At 50.8% G+C, this 19,247-nt stretch overlaps 2 protein-coding genes and 2 non-coding genes across 4 annotated transcripts in view, besides 1 other annotated feature; 2 read left to right on the forward strand and 2 right to left on the reverse strand.

The window, feature by feature from the left end:
* Positions 1-240: a silencer, noted in NCBI's record as "silent region_366". NCBI's record gives its function as "represses an Ori minimal core promoter by ATAC-STARR-seq in GM12878 lymphoblastoid cells {active_cell/tissue: GM12878}" and the evidence as "EXISTENCE:reporter gene assay evidence [ECO:0000049][PMID:35858748]".
* On the forward strand, positions 148-18,201 carry PINK1 (PTEN induced kinase 1). The gene is made up of 8 exons (NM_032409.3): positions 148-625; positions 4,532-4,819; positions 6,582-6,682; positions 11,180-11,362; positions 12,250-12,413; positions 15,195-15,322; positions 15,685-15,921; positions 17,124-18,201. Exons 1-8 carry the CDS (start codon positions 239-241, stop codon positions 17,379-17,381), a joined length of 1,746 nt encoding a protein of 581 aa, NP_115785.1. The 5' UTR covers positions 148-238; the 3' UTR covers positions 17,382-18,201.
* Positions 369-478, forward strand: MIR6084 (microRNA 6084). Its single transcript, NR_106732.1, has one exon. It is a non-coding gene; the product is annotated as a microRNA 6084 (primary transcript).
* PINK1-AS (PINK1 antisense RNA) lies at positions 9,347-18,883 on the reverse strand. Its single transcript, NR_046507.1, has 3 exons — positions 15,005-18,883; positions 12,275-12,376; positions 9,347-9,808 (listed from the first exon to the last, which is right to left on the reverse strand).
* The window catches only part of DDOST (dolichyl-diphosphooligosaccharide--protein glycosyltransferase non-catalytic subunit), a 9,593-nt gene continuing 8,812 nt past the window's right edge, over positions 18,467-19,247 (reverse strand). The window contains exon 11 of the mRNA NM_005216.5: positions 18,467-19,218. Coding sequence (NP_005207.3) covers positions 19,069-19,218 — 150 coding nt within the window. The 3' untranslated portion in view covers positions 18,467-19,068. The remainder of the gene's footprint in view (positions 19,219-19,247) is intronic.

The following is a 19,247-nucleotide window of genomic DNA, read 5'->3' on the forward strand; positions in this document are numbered from 1 at the left end:
GCCTGAACCGGCAAGCCCTCCACGTGGGTCCAAAGTGCAAAGGGAAAGTCACTGCTAGAGGCGCCAGTACCAGCATAGCGCCCCCACGCGCCGAGTCGGGGAACTGCCGCGGGGGCCGGCCCCGCCCACCAGCGCCTGCGCCTGCGCAGAGGCACCGCCCCAAGTTTGTTGTGACCGGCGGGGGACGCCGGTGGTGGCGGCAGCGGCGGCTGCGGGGGCACCGGGCCGCGGCGCCACCATGGCGGTGCGACAGGCGCTGGGCCGCGGCCTGCAGCTGGGTCGAGCGCTGCTGCTGCGCTTCACGGGCAAGCCCGGCCGGGCCTACGGCTTGGGGCGGCCGGGCCCGGCGGCGGGCTGTGTCCGCGGGGAGCGTCCAGGCTGGGCCGCAGGACCGGGCGCGGAGCCTCGCAGGGTCGGGCTCGGGCTCCCTAACCGTCTCCGCTTCTTCCGCCAGTCGGTGGCCGGGCTGGCGGCGCGGTTGCAGCGGCAGTTCGTGGTGCGGGCCTGGGGCTGCGCGGGCCCTTGCGGCCGGGCAGTCTTTCTGGCCTTCGGGCTAGGGCTGGGCCTCATCGAGGAAAAACAGGCGGAGAGCCGGCGGGCGGTCTCGGCCTGTCAGGAGATCCAGGTGAGCGGGGCCGGGTCCTAAGCCGAGCGGAGGACGGAGCTAAGCGCGGGGGCGGGTCCTCAGCTGGGTGGGGGCGGGGCTAGGTGTGGAGGCGGGGCTCTGAGCAGATCGAGGGCCGAGGCGAGGGTCCTTAAAGCTCATCTATTTCACCATTACTGATCGGCTGCTATAAATAAAGCCAGCACCTCCCATTTGTTTTAATGTTTCCCTTCCTCAAATGAAGACATGTTGCCGATTACAGCTCCTGTCGCAGCACAGCAAAAGGCTTTGTGTAAATTTTCTAAAATGTACGGACAACTAAATCATAACATTCCTATCCCTTTGAGGTAGTTGCCGTCCCTAATTTATGGAGAAGGAAAGTCCTCAGGTGAAGGGACTTGCTCGAAGTCACACAGCTAATAAAATGCAGTGCCCTTAACCACTGAGCCAGGCTGCCTCCGCCGTTTAACCAAAGGATTAGTAGTGACAGAGCTGAAACCGCAGTAAAAACTATGAACGGCGAGAAAAACAGTCCTAACATTTTAGTTACCTGTGTAGAGTTATCCCTGCTGACTGGATACACAAGGGTTCTTAGGGTTTTTTAATGCTTAAAATAGCACAAGACTTCTCTTTTTGCCCAACCAAAGTCTGTATTAGGGTTCTCCAAATGGAATCAATAGGATGTGTCTATATAGAGGCAGGTTTATTTTGAGGACCTGGCTCCCTATGGGGATTGGCAAAGTCTTAAAAGCCGCAGAGTAGGCGGGCAGGCTGGAGAGCCAGGGAGGAGCCAGCGGTGCAGTTCAGGTTTGAAGCCTGGCCGCTGGCAGAATTCCATCTTCTTCCAGGGAGGTCACTCTTCTTCCTGGGGGTGTAGAACCACTCACTAAATTAGCATAGCCCCTGCATTTTACAGGTTAGGGCTGAGGTGGTGGAAGAGGGAGTGACTTGCCCAAGGACACAGCTGTTAGGGCCAAGCAGTGGCTCCTGGGTTTCCTGGTTTCCATCCCAGTTCTTATTGCTCATCACCACTGTCTCATGTTTGAGCTCTGGCCAGTTTGGGGTGACAGGTGACATCTGGCCTAGTCCCCAGCCCCTGACCTTGTCTTTTGCCACAGCTTAACTGGCAGAAGCTAAGGATGGGAAATTTGACTAATCCTGCTTAAAACTAAAGAGGCTTTTTTAACTGAGGAGATTGATCCTCCTAAACTTACCATTCACACACACCTTCTTCGCACACTTCACCCTCCTATGCCTGAAAATGTTATTAGTTATCAATTAATTTCACATTAAAAAAATTTTTTTTGGTCAGGCACTGTGGCTCATGCCTGTAATCCCAGCACTTTGGGAGGCTGAGGCGGGCGGATCACGAGGTCAGGAGTTTGAGACCAGCCTGGCCAACATGGTGGAACCCTGTCTCTACTAAAAATACAAAAATTACCCGGGCGCAGTGGTGGGCGCCTGTAATCCCAGCTACTTGGGAGACTGAGGCAGGAGAATTCCTTGAACCCGGGAGGCGGAGGTTGCAGTGAGCTGAGATCACGCCACTGCACTCCAGCCTGGGTGACAGAGCAAGACTCTGACTGGGGGGAGAAAAAGTTGTTTTCACTGGCTACTTTTGCTGGAATTAATTTCACATTTAAAAAATTCTGGGCCGGGCGGGGTGGCTCATGCCTGTAATCTCAGCACTTTGGGAGGCCAAGGCGGGCGGATCATGAGGTCAGGAGATCGAGACCATCCTGGCTAACATGGTGAAACCCCGCCTCTACTAAAAATACAAAAAAATTAGCCAGGCATGGTGGCAGGCGCCTGTAGTCCCAGCTACTCGGGAGGCTGAGGCAGGAGAATGGCGTGAACCCGGGAGGCAGGGCTTGCAGTGAGCCAAGATCGCGCCACTGCACTCCAGCCTAGAGGACAGAGTGAGACTCCGTCTCAAAAAAAATAAAAAATAAAAAAATAAAAAATTCTGAAGCCAGGCATGGTGACTCATGCCTATAATCCTGGTGCTTTGGGAGGCCAAGGTGAGAGAATCTCTTGAGCCCAGGAGTTGAAGACCAGCTGGGACAACATAGTGAGACCTTGTTCCCACAAAATATTAAAAAGTTAGCTAGGCATGGTGGCACATGCCGATAGTCCCAGCTACTTAGGAGGCTGAGGTGGGTGGATTGCTTGAGCCCAGGAGTTTGAGGCTGCAGTGAGCTGTAGTTGCAACACTGCACCCCATCCTGGGCAACTAGCAGGAGTGTGCTAGTAGCAAGCTCTAAAAATTTATATTATAAAAATATATATATAATGTGTATATATATGTATATGTGTATATATGTTGTGTATACTATAATATGTATGTTCCATATAATAGTATATAGTATATTTTATATATATACACACACACGTTGCTTCTGCTCCATGAAGTTTATAAGGGAAGTTGGATTTTCCTTTTTTTTTTTTGATACGGAGTCTCACACCGTCGCCCAGGCTGTGCAATGGCACGATCTCAGCTCACTGCAACCTCCACCTCCCAGATTCACGCAATTCTTCTGCCTCAGCCTCCTGAGTAGCTGGGATTACATGTGCACACCACCACACCCGGCTAATTTTTTGTATTTTTTAGTAGAGACGGGGTTTCACTATGTTGGCCAGGCTGGTCTTGAACTCCTGACTTCATGATCCGCCTCCCTCGGCCTCCCAAAGTGCTGGGATTACAGGCATGAGCCACCACGCCCGGCCTGGACTTTCATTTTTTTAAAAGGTTCAAAGTTATAGTGCAAGGTTAAGTTGCTTACAGATAGCAGGTGCTTTAGGAACCCTCTAGAAGGAAAGTTGCCATGGGCTGGGTCATCAGGGCTGGTCACAGAGGAAGGAGGAGCTTGAGTTGGGCTTGATGGCTGAGCAGGGATGAGCCAGACAGAGCAATACTATAGAAACAGGGGCTGGAAGGATGCTGTGAGCAGCTTTCAGAGGGAGGCGTCCAAAGGATGAGTGCAGGCAGCGTGCAGACCAGCCTGGCAGCAGCCAGAACACAGATAACCTCCTGGGCAGTCTGATGGACAGCCGAGTGACACATGAAAGCAACATATTTTGATGTGGCTCAGAGCAGGGAAGGCACGGCACTGAGAGTGGGGTAGTCTAGAGATGGTGCCTGGTAGGCTATGGCCAAGGGGCATATGCAGAGCTGTGCCTGGCACCCAGGGGTGACTAACCTTGGAAAGGAAGAGCTCAGCAGATCAGACCATTTGAGAGGGAAAGCGGAGCCTGGGTGACTGGAAGAGTGACGTCACCGCTGCCTGAAGCAGGGGAAGACCCACCAGATTTTTGTCACATGGCCTCTTTCCCAGTGCAGCACTGCCCCCAGCACCTGCACCTCCATCTATTTCTGTCTGAACTCTTGTACTCTTGCTACCTTTCTGGACAGAGTAGCCTCATCGGGGCCCTAAGAGGCAGAGAGAGAAAGACAGTACTGAATCCCTCTGCTCTGGGGATGCGCCTGATGTCACCCACTTGCCTGAGAGACCCTCTGAGATCACTGTGGATCACACACTCCTGCTAGTTGCCCAGGAGCCGTCAGCCAAGGTCTTTGCAGAGCGAGCTGTCTCCATAATCAGACACCTCCAGAACTCTGCTGGAGAGTGAAGGCAGCAAGGAGAGGTGCACTGGCTGCGGGACGTGGGGTTTCTGACCTCTCAGATCATTGAGTATTGTGATCCCAGTGAAGCAACAGAGTTTGAGAAAAATCATTCTGAATAATGAGAAAGAAGATGGCCTGGACCCAGGCTGAGCAGTAGAACCTGGTTGGGTTGTGTTTTTCTGGTTTATTGATCTGGTCGACGTGGACCACGCCTTGCTGCACCTCTCTCTGCCTCCCCTGTTTCCCTTTTCTTGGGCCTTCCTAGGCTCCCTGGCTCACGGTGCATTCTTTTCTCATCACAGGCAATTTTTACCCAGAAAAGCAAGCCGGGGCCTGACCCGTTGGACACGAGACGCTTGCAGGGCTTTCGGCTGGAGGAGTATCTGATAGGGCAGTCCATTGGTAAGGGCTGCAGTGCTGCTGTGTATGAAGCCACCATGCCTACATTGCCCCAGAACCTGGAGGTGACAAAGAGCACCGGGTTGCTTCCAGGGAGAGGCCCAGGTACCAGTGCACCAGGAGAAGGGCAGGAGCGAGCTCCGGGGGCCCCTGCCTTCCCCTTGGCCATCAAGATGATGTGGAACATCTCGGTAAGCACCAGGCCTTTCATCTTTAAAGGAGATGTTCTCAAAATGCCCATCTTAGTGGGCCTGGTGAGGATTTTTTCCAGGAAGTAGGTAGGAAAAGACAGATTATCCACAGGAAAGGTGCCTGTATAGTCAGGTTACCTCCCCCTGTTACACAGAAGTCTAAACCAGAATGTTTGAAATTGTATTCTGCCCACAGATCACCCAGAGATCAGGTTCAAAGGTAGATTTTGGCCAGGCCTGGTGGACCATGCCTGTAATCCCAGCACTTTGGGAGGCCAATCACTTGAGCTCAGGAGTTTGAGACCAGCCTGGGCAACATGATGAAACCCCATCTCTATGAAAAATACAAAAATTAGCCGGGTGTGACAGCTTGCACCTGTATGTAGTCTTAGCTACTTGGGTGGCTGGTGGCTGAAGTGGGAGGATCACTTGAGTGCAAGAGGCAGAGGCTGCAGTGATCCAAGATTGTGGCACTGCACTCCAGCCTGGGTAACAGAGTAAGACCCTGTCTCAAAACAAAACAAACAAACAAAAAAAACCCAAAGGTAGATTCTGATTCAGCAGGTCAGGGATGGGGCCTAAGATTGTGCCTTCCCAATAAGCTCCCACGTGATACCAATGCCACTGCTCTGTCAACCACACTTTGAGTAACAAGTGCCTAAACCACTGATTTCTACCTTGATTGGTTAGTTCACCATCCCCTCCTTCCTGCAACCTGCCTCACTGGAGAGGGGGAACTGGATCTCTTTCCTTTAAGCTCACTCTGCAAGCCCACCTCCAGCTCAGAGGCTTGCATGTCAACTCCCTACTCTCAACTCTTGGAAGGACTCAAGACTTTGGGAAATTGAAGAGTATTTTTCCCCCACGAAAACAATTTCTGTCCACTTAATTTATTTACCTTGCCATTGCTAGGTAGGTTTTAAAAATGTATTAAGACCCGATGCTCTGTCTCCTGCCCATCCCTGGGCCCATCCATTCAAGGCCGCAGTGGGAAGTGGCCACAGCCGTTCATGGTGGGCCCTAGAGGATGCAGTTTCTTGTTCTGATTTGGGGAATGAAGGTTATTAGACTGTTGCACTCCAAGCTGGGTTAATAGCTAACAAGTAGCCAAATCCTTTGCCTGTGAAACATCCAGTCTTAGCATCAAAACATGCCCTGGTTGGGGCATGACAGCTGTTGCATTCACAGCAGCTACAAGATTGTTGATTCTTACCAGATCTTCTTGATACAGGTTTCATATGTCCTGAGAGCCCTTCCCAATACAATGAGGACAATAAGGTGCTTTCCCCACTCTTTGGTTTTTGTCTGTTTGTCGTGGGGGATGGAGGAAGGCTGTTCTGTGATTCAGTACAACTTCACCCAGGGTGGAGCATGTCAGGCTCTGGCCTGGCTGCTGAAGGGAGCCTGCAGAATGAGTTAGTGATCCAGTGGTCAATTTTGAACTGGTGGGGACCAGAGGCACCGATGGCAGGAAGCAGCACCCCATATCCTGATCACCTTGGCATCTCCTCCAGCCCTGGCATCTAGGCTGCAAGAGTTTGAGGAGTGTGAAGAATCCTCTGAGTTGGCATGGATGGTACCTCTGTCTGCCTCCCAGGAGTAACTAGTCTCAGCCTGCCAGTTAAGACAGGTCATCTTATCTCGAAGGTCAGAGCCAATTCTAGGCAGTAGCTGCCCTGCTCCAGGTTACAGGCAGGGCTTACAAGGAACTTACCATTCTGCTCCGGCCTGTGTAACCCTGGGTTCCTTGTGGGTGTTCCAGGCAGGTTCCTCCAGCGAAGCCATCTTGAACACAATGAGCCAGGAGCTGGTCCCAGCGAGCCGAGTGGCCTTGGCTGGGGAGTATGGAGCAGTCACTTACAGGTAAGTGCCCTCTGCCTGCCAGACTGACTGGGACTTCTTTGAGAGCAACTTCATCCATCACTTATGTCCTCAGCACCTGGTACAGTGTCTGATATGACAGTAGATAATAAAGGCTTAATGTTGGTGATGGATTTTCAGTTAGTGGATAATTTCACTTGGGAAAGATTGCAGGTAATCTGACCCCAAATGATGATGCACTTGCGTAATTCACATTGGAGCAGGGGAGAGGAGGCCCCCCAAAAATGCCCAGTTCACAGTGTTGCATGATTGACTGGGGTTCTCAGATTCCTCCTAAGAAATGCACGGGTAGAGCGCCACCTATCGGAATAAACTGAACTCTGTCCCCACCAGAGGGAACACTCATTTCACTAATAGTTATGTGCACTGATGGTGCCAAGAGATTTTAAAAAAAACAAAAAGTGGTCTGTTGGCCCAGAGGTCTCAGTGTGGCAGCAGAGAGCCCAGGGTGTAAGTGCTAGAATCGAGTATGCTTGGGCTGAGGGAGCCCAGGGGAGGCGTGTGCTGCAGAGGAGGGGCTGCTCAGAAAGCCTTCTCAAAGGGACAGTTTGTGCCACCTTGTGAAGGATGAATTGGCATTACTTGGGCAGAGGAGTAGGGAAGTGGCATTCCCAGCAGAGGGAAGAGCAAGTGAACAGCAGCTACGCTTTCAGCTCAGAAAAGCCCATGTCCACCACCAGCCTCACCACAGGTGGTGAGGACTGACGCGCAGGCTATGACAGAGGAGATACTTGTGCCCACCTCAATATTTACAGCCTGGCTCATGCCTGTAATCCCAGCACTTTGGGAGGCTGAGGTAGGCAGATCACTTGAGCCCAGGAGTTCAAGAGCAGCCTGGGCAACATGGTGAAACCCCGCCTTTACAAAAAATAAATTTTAGCCGGGCATGGGGGCAAATGCCTGTGATCCCAGCTACTCAGGAGGCTGAGGCGGGAGGATCATTTGAGTCCAGGGAGGTTGAGGCTGCAGTGAGCCAAGATCATGCCACTGCACTCCAGCCTGGGCGACCCTGGAGTGAGACCCTGTCTCTCATTTGTAGACCCACCAAGAAGAGGTGGGTCTGCTGCATTTTTGGTGATTTACTGGAGGGCTGGTTTATAGATCTTCATTCTGTCAGAAGCAGGGAGGCAAAAGTATGAAATTAAGGGAGTGGTTGTGGAAAACCCCTTCCATGGTTTGGAGGTTTCCAATGTGACTGGGAGTCCCTGCAGGCCGGTGGAGGTAGCTGCTCAAGTGGCTGCTGCTTCTCCTGAGGCCTTTTTGGAGAAAGTGGACACCTGAATGTCAGCTGCTTTGGGGCTAACATGATCCTTGATGCCTCCTTTTGTGGCATGAGTGGCAGCCGGCCGACGTGGTGCTGTCCTGCTGCCGGAGCACCATGATGTCTGCTGCTGAGACCTCCCATCTGACATAGTCCCTGTCCCTCTTCAGGGACTTTGTTCCTTTAGCAGTTCTCACTGTCTGGCCTCAAATAACACGTCTTTTTCTGTTGGTTCCTTTTTGCTCCAGCTGTACTGTAAACACTCTTTGTTTACTGCATACCCTCAGTAAATACCTGTTGAATGACCGGATAGATGTGGCAGCAGGTACATTACCTCAACTTCTGGTACACCTTGGGAGAAGCTTTCCCAAGAACACCCTGGGTTCATTTCCTCCTAGCCTCTGCTCTCCTGGGGCCCAGAGATTGAAGGCGCTTAACCTGCTCATCTCACCACGTCTCCCGCCTTATCTCTCACCCTTCTCATCAGCACCCTACACTCCACCACGCTGGCTTCATAGCTCCTTCCCCGAATGTGCCAGGCTTCTCTGTGACCATCTCTTGAGCGTACAGCTGGCTATACCTGGGCTGCCCTCCTCCCACATTTCAGGTCTCAGTTCAGACACCCGCAACCCCACCATGTATCTCCCCAGTACAGCCATACTCCTCTGCCCCTGAGCTCCCATGACACCTGCTGGGGCCCTGACAGCCTGGGGCTGTGATCATGACTTGCCCAGGGGCCCGAGGGTGGAAACGATGCTCTGGCTCCTTTGATTGCATAGAACAGGGGCCACTCAGGTTGACTCAAGAGCAGGAGCAGCGCGTGGGCACACGTGGACTGCAGCCACACAGCCTGGGGACCATGCAGTGCTGGGAGAGGCCGGTGCCCTGCTCTCTCCCCAGCACCGTCTAGGCTCTGCCCCATTCGCTTCCCTCCACCATTGTTATGCAGCAAAGGGGGCTCTAGCCTGATGTGCTAGAAGCAGTCACACTGGATTTTTGAGAAAAGCCAAGCTTTCTATTGTGAGTCGACTCATATGGAGACAGGAGTTGAATTCAACCCTGTCTCCCTGTGCTAGCTTTAAGGCGGTAATTTTATTAGAGGAGGTTTAAGGGGTGGATTCTAAGATTAGCAGGTGATTGATGGAAGGAAAGGAGAAGTCTGGACAGTCCTTGGACATGCACAGTTATCTGTTCATGCCAACTCATGGGTCCCCTGTGCAGATTTGGGAGGAGTGAGTATGAAACGTGCAGTGGCAATTCAGGCTTTGACATCAGCAAACTTGTTCTGTGCAAGCTGCAATTGGCCTTATTGGTTCCAACCAATTTCAGCCAGTTCTTTTATCTCATAAGCAGAGGGAGTTTCAGCCTTTCAGAAAGTGGTTTCTGCAAACTCAAATTTTCTTTTATTTTTCTGAGACAGGGTCTTACTCTGTTGCCCAGGCTGGAGAGCAGTGGCGTGATCTTGGCTCACTGCAGCCTCAACCTCCCTGGGCTCAAGTGATCCTCCCACCTCAGCCTCCCAAGTAGCTGGGTCTGCAGGCACATGCCACCATGCCCAGCTAATTTTTGTAGTTTTTGTAGAGACAGAGTTTCTCCATGTTGCCCGGGCTGGCCTCGAACTCCTGGGCTCAAGCAATTGCCTGCCTCAGCCTCCCAAATTGCTGGGATTACAGGAGTGAGCCACGGGAATTTCCATCAGTTACTGATTCTTGAACTTGTAGGAACGTGGTTCCACTGTCCACATGCTGTTCTTTCCTCGCATCTCCTGTTCCTGCTTCCCTTTGGCCTGCTCACCTCTGGCTCCTCATGGCCCCAGTGAAGTATCGTGGCTTCCTCTCCACTGCAGACTGGCAGATTTCTTCACTCACACTCCCAAAAAGAGAATCTACTTCCCTCCCTTCCCTTCGTCCAACCATCTGGGTCTCGAGTGTCACTGTAGGTTCACTGCCGTTGGGGCAGGTGACTCCTTGGGCCAGTCAGCTTTGGCTGAAGGGCAGGGCTGGCACACAGCTGGCAGAGCCACCCCATCCAAAATCCAGCCACTGTGCCTCAGCAGGGCTGTGGTTTGGGGGTCGGGGGGCGCTCCCCACAGGATAAGGAGCAGCCAGGGCAGGCAGATGACACTACCACTACTAGCTGCATCTGGATCTATTCACTTATTCAACAAAGGTTTATTACACCCATATTCTATGCCAACTACTGTACTAGACTTGGAATAATGGAGAAAATTCAGGCACAGTCCTTGCTCTTAGGGAGCTCACATGATTACTCATTGATGAATATCTCTCTCCCCTGATAGACTGCAAATCCATGAGGACAGGGACTCTGTCTTGTTCTGTGCCATAGTTCCACAGCATTCCAGCATGATGTCTGGTACTCAGCATGCAAACAGTGCGTATTGGTTGAATGAATAATAGTACAGCTAATAGCAGCTGAGAGCTTCCTCTGTGCTAGACACGATTCTAGGTGCCTTCCACACTTTGACAACCTTATGCAGCGTGTTAACACTGCATTCCCCTTGCACCCTGGAGATTGAGCCCAGAGAAGATAAGGACAGAGGGGACACATTCCAAGATAGATCCCCCAGTGGATGCCTGAAGCCACAGATAGTAACAAACCCTATATATACTGTGTTTTTTCCTATACACACATACCTATGGTAAAGTTTAATTTATAAATTAGGCACAGTAAAAAATTAAAGATAACTAATAAAATAGAATAATTATGACAATATACTGTAATAAAAGTTATGTGAATGTGGTCTCTCTCTCTCTCCTCTCTCTAAATATCTTCTTGTACTCACCTATTCTCAAACTGTAGATAACTGAAATTGCAGAAAGCAAAACTGTGGATAAGGTTGGGGCTACTGCAACTCAGCCAAGGACTTACAGTGGCAGACCTGGAATGCAAACCCAGGCAGTCTGATACCAGGGTTTCTCCACCTGTGTTCTGCCACATGGGATGGATAGGATGGATGGGTGTACGGATGGACGGACGGACAGACGGATGGACAAATGGATTGAAGGATGGGTAGGGGAGTCATCAGATGTGTTCTCCAACACCATGTACAGTACCTGGCACATAGCAAATCTATGATAAACATTTGATAGTAAGTGAATAATGAATGTCAGTGCCAGTGTTGGTGTGGCCTTAGGTTATTCTTTCCAGGTGTTGTATCTGATGCTGGCCTCATATGTTTGTCTCACTTGGCTGACTAGAAAATCCAAGAGAGGTCCCAAGCAACTAGCCCCTCACCCCAACATCATCCGGGTTCTCCGCGCCTTCACCTCTTCCGTGCCGCTGCTGCCAGGGGCCCTGGTCGACTACCCTGATGTGCTGCCCTCACGCCTCCACCCTGAAGGCCTGGGCCATGGCCGGACGCTGTTCCTCGTTATGAAGAAGTAAGTGACAGCAGCGCGGCAGGGCCTGGAGCTGATACATCTCCCAAGGGGAGCTGGTTCCTGCCCTCCATGTGCACCTTGATCAGGGGGTTTTGGAGAACAGGGTCATCACCCTTCCGGAGAAGAAAGCCATGCAAAGGGAACATATCTGCCCTGGAGAGCATTTTCCCTGTAGGACGATTTTTCATGGAAACAAACTCTCATCTTCATCCAGAACATACTTGTCACCTAGTCCTTTTGGTCCATTTGACTGTTAACCTTTTCTGTGGCTGGACTTATCTGTTTTTAACATAAAAACCGTTCTCCTTCCTCACCCTCTGTATCCCCTAACTTTGCTATAGTGGGTATTTTATTTTAAGGAAATAATTATCTGCACCATTACTTTGAATATAGGGAGCCCCAACTCTTACTTCCTAATTTGAGGATGGTGAGTGGGAGGGAACAGAAAGGATGCTGGGGAAAAGTGGGAATCAAAGTGCTCCTGGAAGGGGAAGAGGAACGGCCTAACCCTAACAGTGATTAAGGTTATTAGGAGGCCGGGAATGGTGGCTGACGCCTGTAATCCCAGCACTTTGGAAGGCGGAGGTGGGTAGATCACTTGAGGTCAGGAGTTTGAGACCAGCCTGGCCAACATGATGAAACCCTGTATCTACTAAACATACAAAAATTAGCCTGGTGTGGTGGCGGGCACCTATAATCCCAGCTACTCGGGAGGCTGAGGTAGGAGAATTGCTTGAACCTGGAAGGTGGAGGTTGCAGTGAGCCAAGATCGTGCTACTGCACTCCAGCTTGGCGACAGAGTGAGACTCCATCTCAAAAAAAAAAAAAAAAACGTATTGGGAGTCGTCGATGTGTGGTAGCCAGAGGCCCTCTCCCCTCTCCGCCAGCTATCCCTGTACCCTGCGCCAGTACCTTTGTGTGAACACACCCAGCCCCCGCCTCGCCGCCATGATGCTGCTGCAGCTGCTGGAAGGCGTGGACCATCTGGTTCAACAGGGCATCGCGCACAGAGACCTGAAATCCGACAACATCCTTGTGGAGCTGGACCCAGGTAGGAACCTGCTGCACCATCAGAGCTCTCCAGGGGCACTAGAGGGTGGGTCAGGAGCATTTAGGACTGACTCTTCAGGTCCTCTCTGGTTTTGTGTTCTAAGTCATGTCTTTATTTAGCTCCGCACACAAGAGGTTAGCAATCTCTCCCTTAGAACGGGGTTTTTTTTTCTCTCTTTGCAGAGAGACAGCACTTCCCAAGTTCCTTTCTCTAGCCCACTTAAAGAACAAGGACCTCAGTGCTGCAAGTTTTCCTAGGTAAATAAAGAGGCCCGGCACAGTGGCTGACACCTGTAATCCCAACACTTTGGGAGGCTTGCTTGAGGATTGCTTGAGGCCAGCAGTTTGAGACCAGCCTGGGAAACAGAGTGAGATCCCTTCTCTACAAAAAAAAAATATGTTTTAAATTAGCCGGAAAAAAAGTTAGCCAGGCATGGTGGCATGCACCTGTAGCCCCAGCTACTTGGGAGGCTGAGGTCGGAGGATCACTTGAGCCTAGGAGTTAAGAGTCTGCAATGAGCTATGAATGTGCCACTGTACTCCAGCCTGGGCAGCAGAGTGAGATCCTATCTCAAAAAAATAATAAAAAATAATAAAGTAAAAGAGAAGTAGACTTTAGCTCATTATAAAAAATAACTTTCGGCCGGGGGTAGTGGCTCACGCCTGTAATCCCAGCACTTTGAGAGGCTGAGGCGGGCAGATCATGAGGTCAAGAGATCGAGACCATCCTGGCCAACATGGTGAAACCCCATCTCTACTAAAAATACAAAAATTAGCTGGGCATGGTGGCGGGCGCCTGTAATCTCAGCTACTTGGGAAGCTGAGGCAGGAGAATTGCTTGAACCCGGGAGGCGGAGGTTGTAGTGAGCCGAGATTGTGCCACTGCATTCCAGCCTGGCGACAGAGTGAGAGTCCATCTCAAAATAAATTAATTAATTAATTAAATTTTTCAAACAATGAAAGCTGTCCAAATGTAAGCCCAGTTGCCTCTGGAAATGAGTTGCCTACCACTGGAAGCATTCAAGTAGAAGCTGAATGGCCACTTGCCTAGGAAAATTGTAAGGAGATTCATACATCTGATAAATTTTTGAACTAGAAGATTTAAAATAATTGACTAGAGGAACTGGCTTTTATTATTTCTTTATTTATTTACTTATTTATTTATTTATTTATTTGAGACAGAATCTTGCTTTGTTGCCCAGGCTGGAGTGCAGTGGCGCCATCTCAGCTCACTGCAACCTCTGCTTCCCAGGTTCAAGCAATTCTCGTGCCTCCGCCTCCTGAGTAGCTAGGATTACAGGCAGGTGCCACCACGCCTAGCTAATTTTTGATTTTTTTTTTTTTTTTTTTTTGAGACTGAGTCTCGCTCTGTCACCCAGGCTGGAGTGCAATGGCATGATCTCGGCTCACTGCAAGCTCTACCTCCCAGGTTCACACCATTCTCCTGCTTCAGCCTCCCGAGTAGCTGGGACTACAGGCGCCCACCACCACGCCCGGCTAATTTTTTTGTATTTTTAGTACAGACGGGGTTTCACCATGTTAGCCAGGATGGTCTCTATCTCCTGACTTCGTGATCCACCTGCTTCGGCCTCCCAAAGCGCTGGGATTATTATTTTTAGTGGAGATGGGGTTTCACTGTTGGCCAGGCTGGTCTCAAACTCCTGGCCTCAAGTGATCCACCCACCTCAGCCTCCAAAATGTTGGGATTACAGGTATGAGCCACCACGCCCAGCTGGGAGTTGGCTTTTTTTTTTTTTTTTTTTTTTGAGACGGAGTCTCACTCTGTCGCCCAGGCTGGAGTGCAGTGGCATGATCTTGGCTCACTGCAACCCCTGCCTATCGGGTTCAAGCAATTCTCCCGCCTCAGCCTCCTGAGTAGCTGGGATTACAGGCACACGCCACTACACCTGGCTGATTTTTGTATTTTTAGTAGAGACGGGGTTTCACCATGTTGGTCAGGCTGATCTGGAACTCCTGACTTCGTGATCCGCCTGCCTCGGCCTCCCAAAGTTCTGGGATTACAGGCGTGAGCCACTGCGCCCAGCCAGGAACTGGCTTTTTAAAGGAATTTTGTGTGGACCCTTTTACAAATAACCAATTCTTTTTTTATTTTTTCTGAGACAGAGTCTCGCTGTGTTGCTCAGGCTGAAGTGATTCTCCTGTCTCAGCCTCCTTCACCTCCCAGGTTCAAGTAATTCTCCTGTCTCAGCCTCCCGAGTAGCTGGGATACAGGCACACACCACCATGCCTGGCTAGTTTTTTTGTATTTTTAGTAGAGACAGGGGTTTCACCATGTTGGCCAGGCTGGTCTTGAACTCCTGACCTCAGGTGATCTACCCGCCTCGGCCTCCCAAAATGTTGGCATTACAGGCCACCACACCCGGCAATAACTGATTCTTAATGCACCTGGTTCTTAGGTTTGGATTTGGGGTTTCAAATTCAAATCAAAGTCTCCTGGGGTATAAGGGCCCTTGGAGATCATTTGAACCAAGCTCTAGCTCCTTTGGTCTTGGGGACAGCTCCAATTACTAGAACATGATTTAAATTGAGCCACACAGTCCTTTGCCTGGGGATTTTGCAGCCTGTACTTACTGGAGGCATTTCCGTGTTCGCACAGCAGGCCCTTCTGATCAGCTCTCAGGCCTTGCTGACCTCCTGGGCCAACACTGAGCCATTAGCCCCTGTCAGCTATGTCTTGCTGGTGGCTTTAGTAGGGACATAGGAGGGCCTCTCAGAGGGAAGGAGGGGAGGAGAAATGGTCACTTTGCTTGCTCCTTCCCAGACGGCTGCCCCTGGCTGGTGATCGCAGATTTTGGCTGCTGCCTGGCTGATGAGAGCATCGGCCTGCAGTTGCCCTTCAGCAGCTGGTACGTGGATCGGGGCGGAAACGGCTGTCTGATGGCCCCAGAGGTGAGTCCCGAGTGTGTCATGCGCCATCGGCAGCCCTTCCCCCACATGTCCACTGAATGCAGGAGACTCGATGCCTTGTGATAACCCAACACCTCCATCTTTTCTGACCCATAATTTGGCACAAGTTCCTTCCCTGCCACTTTGCTTTCCTCCGGCGTTCCCTCATGTTCCAGGAGAATGCAAGTCCTGTCACATAAACCAGGTGGTCTAAGCAGACCCCTTCTGGGTCTGAGCCACAGCTCACTCAAGCTCTGGGTTCCTTGGGACAGAGTTCAGATTAGCCCATGGATCAGGTGATGTGCAGGACATGAAAAGGTTAGATGGGCGGGCAGCGTGATGTCTCACCCACTGCTTCTGAGCAGGTGTCCACGGCCCGTCCTGGCCCCAGGGCAGTGATTGACTACAGCAAGGCTGATGCCTGGGCAGTGGGAGCCATCGCCTATGAAATCTTCGGGCTTGTCAATCCCTTCTACGGCCAGGGCAAGGCCCACCTTGAAAGCCGCAGCTACCAAGAGGCTCAGCTACCTGCACTGCCCGAGTCAGTGCCTCCAGACGTGAGACAGTTGGTGAGGGCACTGCTCCAGCGAGAGGCCAGCAAGGTGAGGCTGTCCCCGGCTTCGAGGGGACGGTGTGGGTAGAAACCTCTGTTCTCGTTCCAGAGTGAAGGTCAGGTTTGGGCCAGAGCCACAGTGACAGATCCTCTGTGTTAGGAAGGTAAAGGCTAGTTACAAGAGAACAAAAAACAGATTTTAATGTAGGTAGGAGTAGGAGCACTAGCCACCACAGCATAGTCAGAATCCTAGCAGTTCAACTCCTGTGGCTTTTTTAGTTGCTGAAAAAGTTGTTCAGAGGCCAGACACGGTGGCTTACACCTATAATCACAGCACTTTGGGAGGCTGAGGCGGGTGGATCACTTGGGACCAGGAGTTCCAGTCCAGCCTGGCCAACATGGTAAAACCCCGTCTGTACTAAAAATACAAAAATTAGCTGAGTGTCGTGGCACACGCCTGTAATTCCAGGTACTCGGGAGGCTGAAGCAGGAGAATCGTTTGAACCCTGGAGGCAGAGGTTGCAGTGAGCCAAGATCGCGCCACTGCACTCTGGCCTAGGTGACAGTGCAAGTCTTTGTCTCAAAAAAAAAAAAAAAAAAAAAAGGCTATTCAGAGAGAGAAAAGGAGGCATTTTTGAGAAATGTTTAATGGAGATGTAGCTCATGGAAGCAGCTGAGAACTGATCAGAGAGAGATGGAAAACATCTCCTGAGAGCAGATCTGGACATTGTGAAATTAATATAAAGGAATGCAAAGGCAGACCTATCCGAAGCCATAATTGGAGTGGCAGCTGGCTCAGGGGCAGGCTTAGTGCAAAGAGCTGAGCCATACCTGCACCCCAGCACTGTTCTGCCACTCCGTTAACTGCTCTCTGTACGTGGCCTGCTATCTTGGTGCGCAGTGAAGGTTAGAACAACAGCTGCAACCAGTTATGAAATGATAGAGGAGACTACTTACCTGGTTCAAGGGACCAGATAGCTGTGCACAAGAGGCACTAGGCTTTCCACCCAGGGGGAAAGGCTATTTCAACAATGCATGCTGCCCCATGCAGAGGTGTACACATGGAAAAGCTTGGAGCACGGGCAGGGGACAGGCAGTATTTGTCACCTGAGTGAAGGGCATCAGTAGGAGATAGGGTAGAGGAAGAATTGGGTTGGGACCAGAGAAGGGAAGACCCTCACTAACAAAGCAGGCTTTGGGTTGAGACTGTGTTAACAGATGTTCTAGCTACAGCTTCCCTTCCTGTTGCAGAGACCATCTGCCCGAGTAGCCGCAAATGTGCTTCATCTAAGCCTCTGGGGTGAACATATTCTAGCCCTGAAGAATCTGAAGTTAGACAAGATGGTTGGCTGGCTCCTCCAACAATCGGCCGCCACTTTGTTGGCCAACAGGCTCACAGAGAAGTGTTGTGTGGAAACAAAAATGAAGATGCTCTTTCTGGCTAACCTGGAGTGTGAAACGCTCTGCCAGGCAGCCCTCCTCCTCTGCTCATGGAGGGCAGCCCTGTGATGTCCCTGCATGGAGCTGGTGAATTACTAAAAGAACATGGCATCCTCTGTGTCGTGATGGTCTGTGAATGGTGAGGGTGGGAGTCAGGAGACAAGACAGCGCAGAGAGGGCTGGTTAGCCGGAAAAGGCCTCGGGCTTGGCAAATGGAAGAACTTGAGTGAGAGTTCAGTCTGCAGTCCTCTGCTCACAGACATCTGAAAAGTGAATGGCCAAGCTGGTCTAGTAGATGAGGCTGGACTGAGGAGGGGTAGGCCTGCATCCACAGAGAGGATCCAGGCCAAGGCACTGGCTGTCAGTGGCAGAGTTTGGCTGTGACCTTTGCCCCTAACACGAGGAACTCGTTTGAAGGGGGCAGCGTAGCATGTCTGATTTGCCACCTGGATGAAGGCAGACATCAACATGGGTCAGCACGTTCAGTTACGGGAGTGGGAAATTACATGAGGCCTGGGCCTCTGCGTTCCCAAGCTGTGCGTTCTGGACCAGCTACTGAATTATTAATCTCACTTAGCGAAAGTGACGGATGAGCAGTAAGTAAGTAAGTGTGGGGATTTAAACTTGAGGGTTTCCCTCCTGACTAGCCTCTCTTACAGGAATTGTGAAATATTAAATGCAAATTTACAACTGCAGATGACGTATGTGCCTTGAACTGAATATTTGGCTTTAAGAATGATTCTTATACTCTGAAGGTGAGAATATTTTGTGGGCAGGTATCAACATTGGGGAAGAGATTTCATGTCTAACTAACTAACTTTATACATGATTTTTAGGAAGCTATTGCCTAAATCAGCGTCAACATGCAGTAAAGGTTGTCTTCAACTGAGCTGTTCTAGTTTTCTCTTCCCCAGCACTGTCATCTAGATTTTCCATTTCAGTGATTCCCACCCCTCGGTCTACTAGCAACAACAACTTTCTTGTATCCTTTGAGGAGACGTTAGGGAGAACCATCATTTCACAGTTAAAAGAAAGACAGTCCAGTCCTAGGCAAAATTTCATGAAGCCACTTAGGATTTTGTATCCAGTCAGTCATCACCCACAGCAACCCCCACCCACAGCCATTAGCAAACCAGGACCGGGGCCAGGTGAAGTTTGAGGGCAACATCTCGCTTTATTTTTATTTATTTATTTATTTATTTATTTATTTATTTATATTTGAGACAGAGTCTTAACACTGTTGCCCAGGCTGGAGTGCAATGGCGTGATCTCAGCTCACTGCAAGCTCTGCCTCTTGGATTCATGCCTTTCTCCTGCCTCAGCCTCCCGAGTAGCTGGGACTACAGGTGCCCACCACCACGCCCAGCTAATTTTTTGTACTTTTAGTAGAGACAGGGTTTTACCGTGTTAGCCAGGATAGTCTCGATCTCCTGACCTCGTGAGCCGCCTGCCTCGGCCTCCCAAAGTGCTGGGATTACAGGCATGAGCCACCGTGCCTGGCCACGTCCCTATTTTAGAAATGAGAGGAGTGACTGCACATAGGAAAAATGCCACTTTTAGCAATTCAAAGTGGAAAAACTTCTTTTATATAAAAATTATCCCAACTCCCACCCCTTGGCTCTCAGTGTTGCATCTCCCACAGAGGTAAAGTTGTGCCATTTTCCCACGGCTTTAAACAAAGCAAAACAAAACCACCAATCCTAATAACCCCCCTCCTTGCCCCGTCTCCACGCTGTGCGGAGAGGGCTCTAGCCCCTCAGTCGGACTTCTCCTTCTCCTTCATGTGCAAGAAGACGATGCTGAAGATGAAGAGCCCCAGCATCATGGAGAAGGCGCTGGCGTAGTAGGGGTAGGCCGAGGGGATGAAGCGCTCATACTGCGTGTGCTGGAGTGGCCGCACGGATACCTGCAGGAGGACAGAGGTGGCAGGACCTG

Source organism: Homo sapiens, chromosome 1 (assembly GCF_000001405.40).
Source record: "Homo sapiens chromosome 1, GRCh38.p14 Primary Assembly".
NCBI lineage: Eukaryota > Metazoa > Chordata > Mammalia > Primates > Hominidae > Homo > Homo sapiens.

What these genes read in the sequence shown, in the direction of transcription:
- PINK1 (NM_032409.3), top strand. Translation starts at nt 239, where the DNA reads ATGGCGGTGCGACAGGCGCTGGGCCGCGGCCTGCAGCTGGGTCGAGCG. An exon ending in TATGGAGCAGTCACTTACAG is followed by an intron (nt 6,683 to 11,179) that starts GTAAGTGCCCTC and finishes TTGGCTGACTAG; the next exon opens with AAAATCCAAGAGAGGTCCCA. An exon ending in CTGTTCCTCGTTATGAAGAA is followed by an intron (nt 11,363 to 12,249) that starts GTAAGTGACAGC and finishes CCTCTCCGCCAG; the next exon opens with CTATCCCTGTACCCTGCGCC.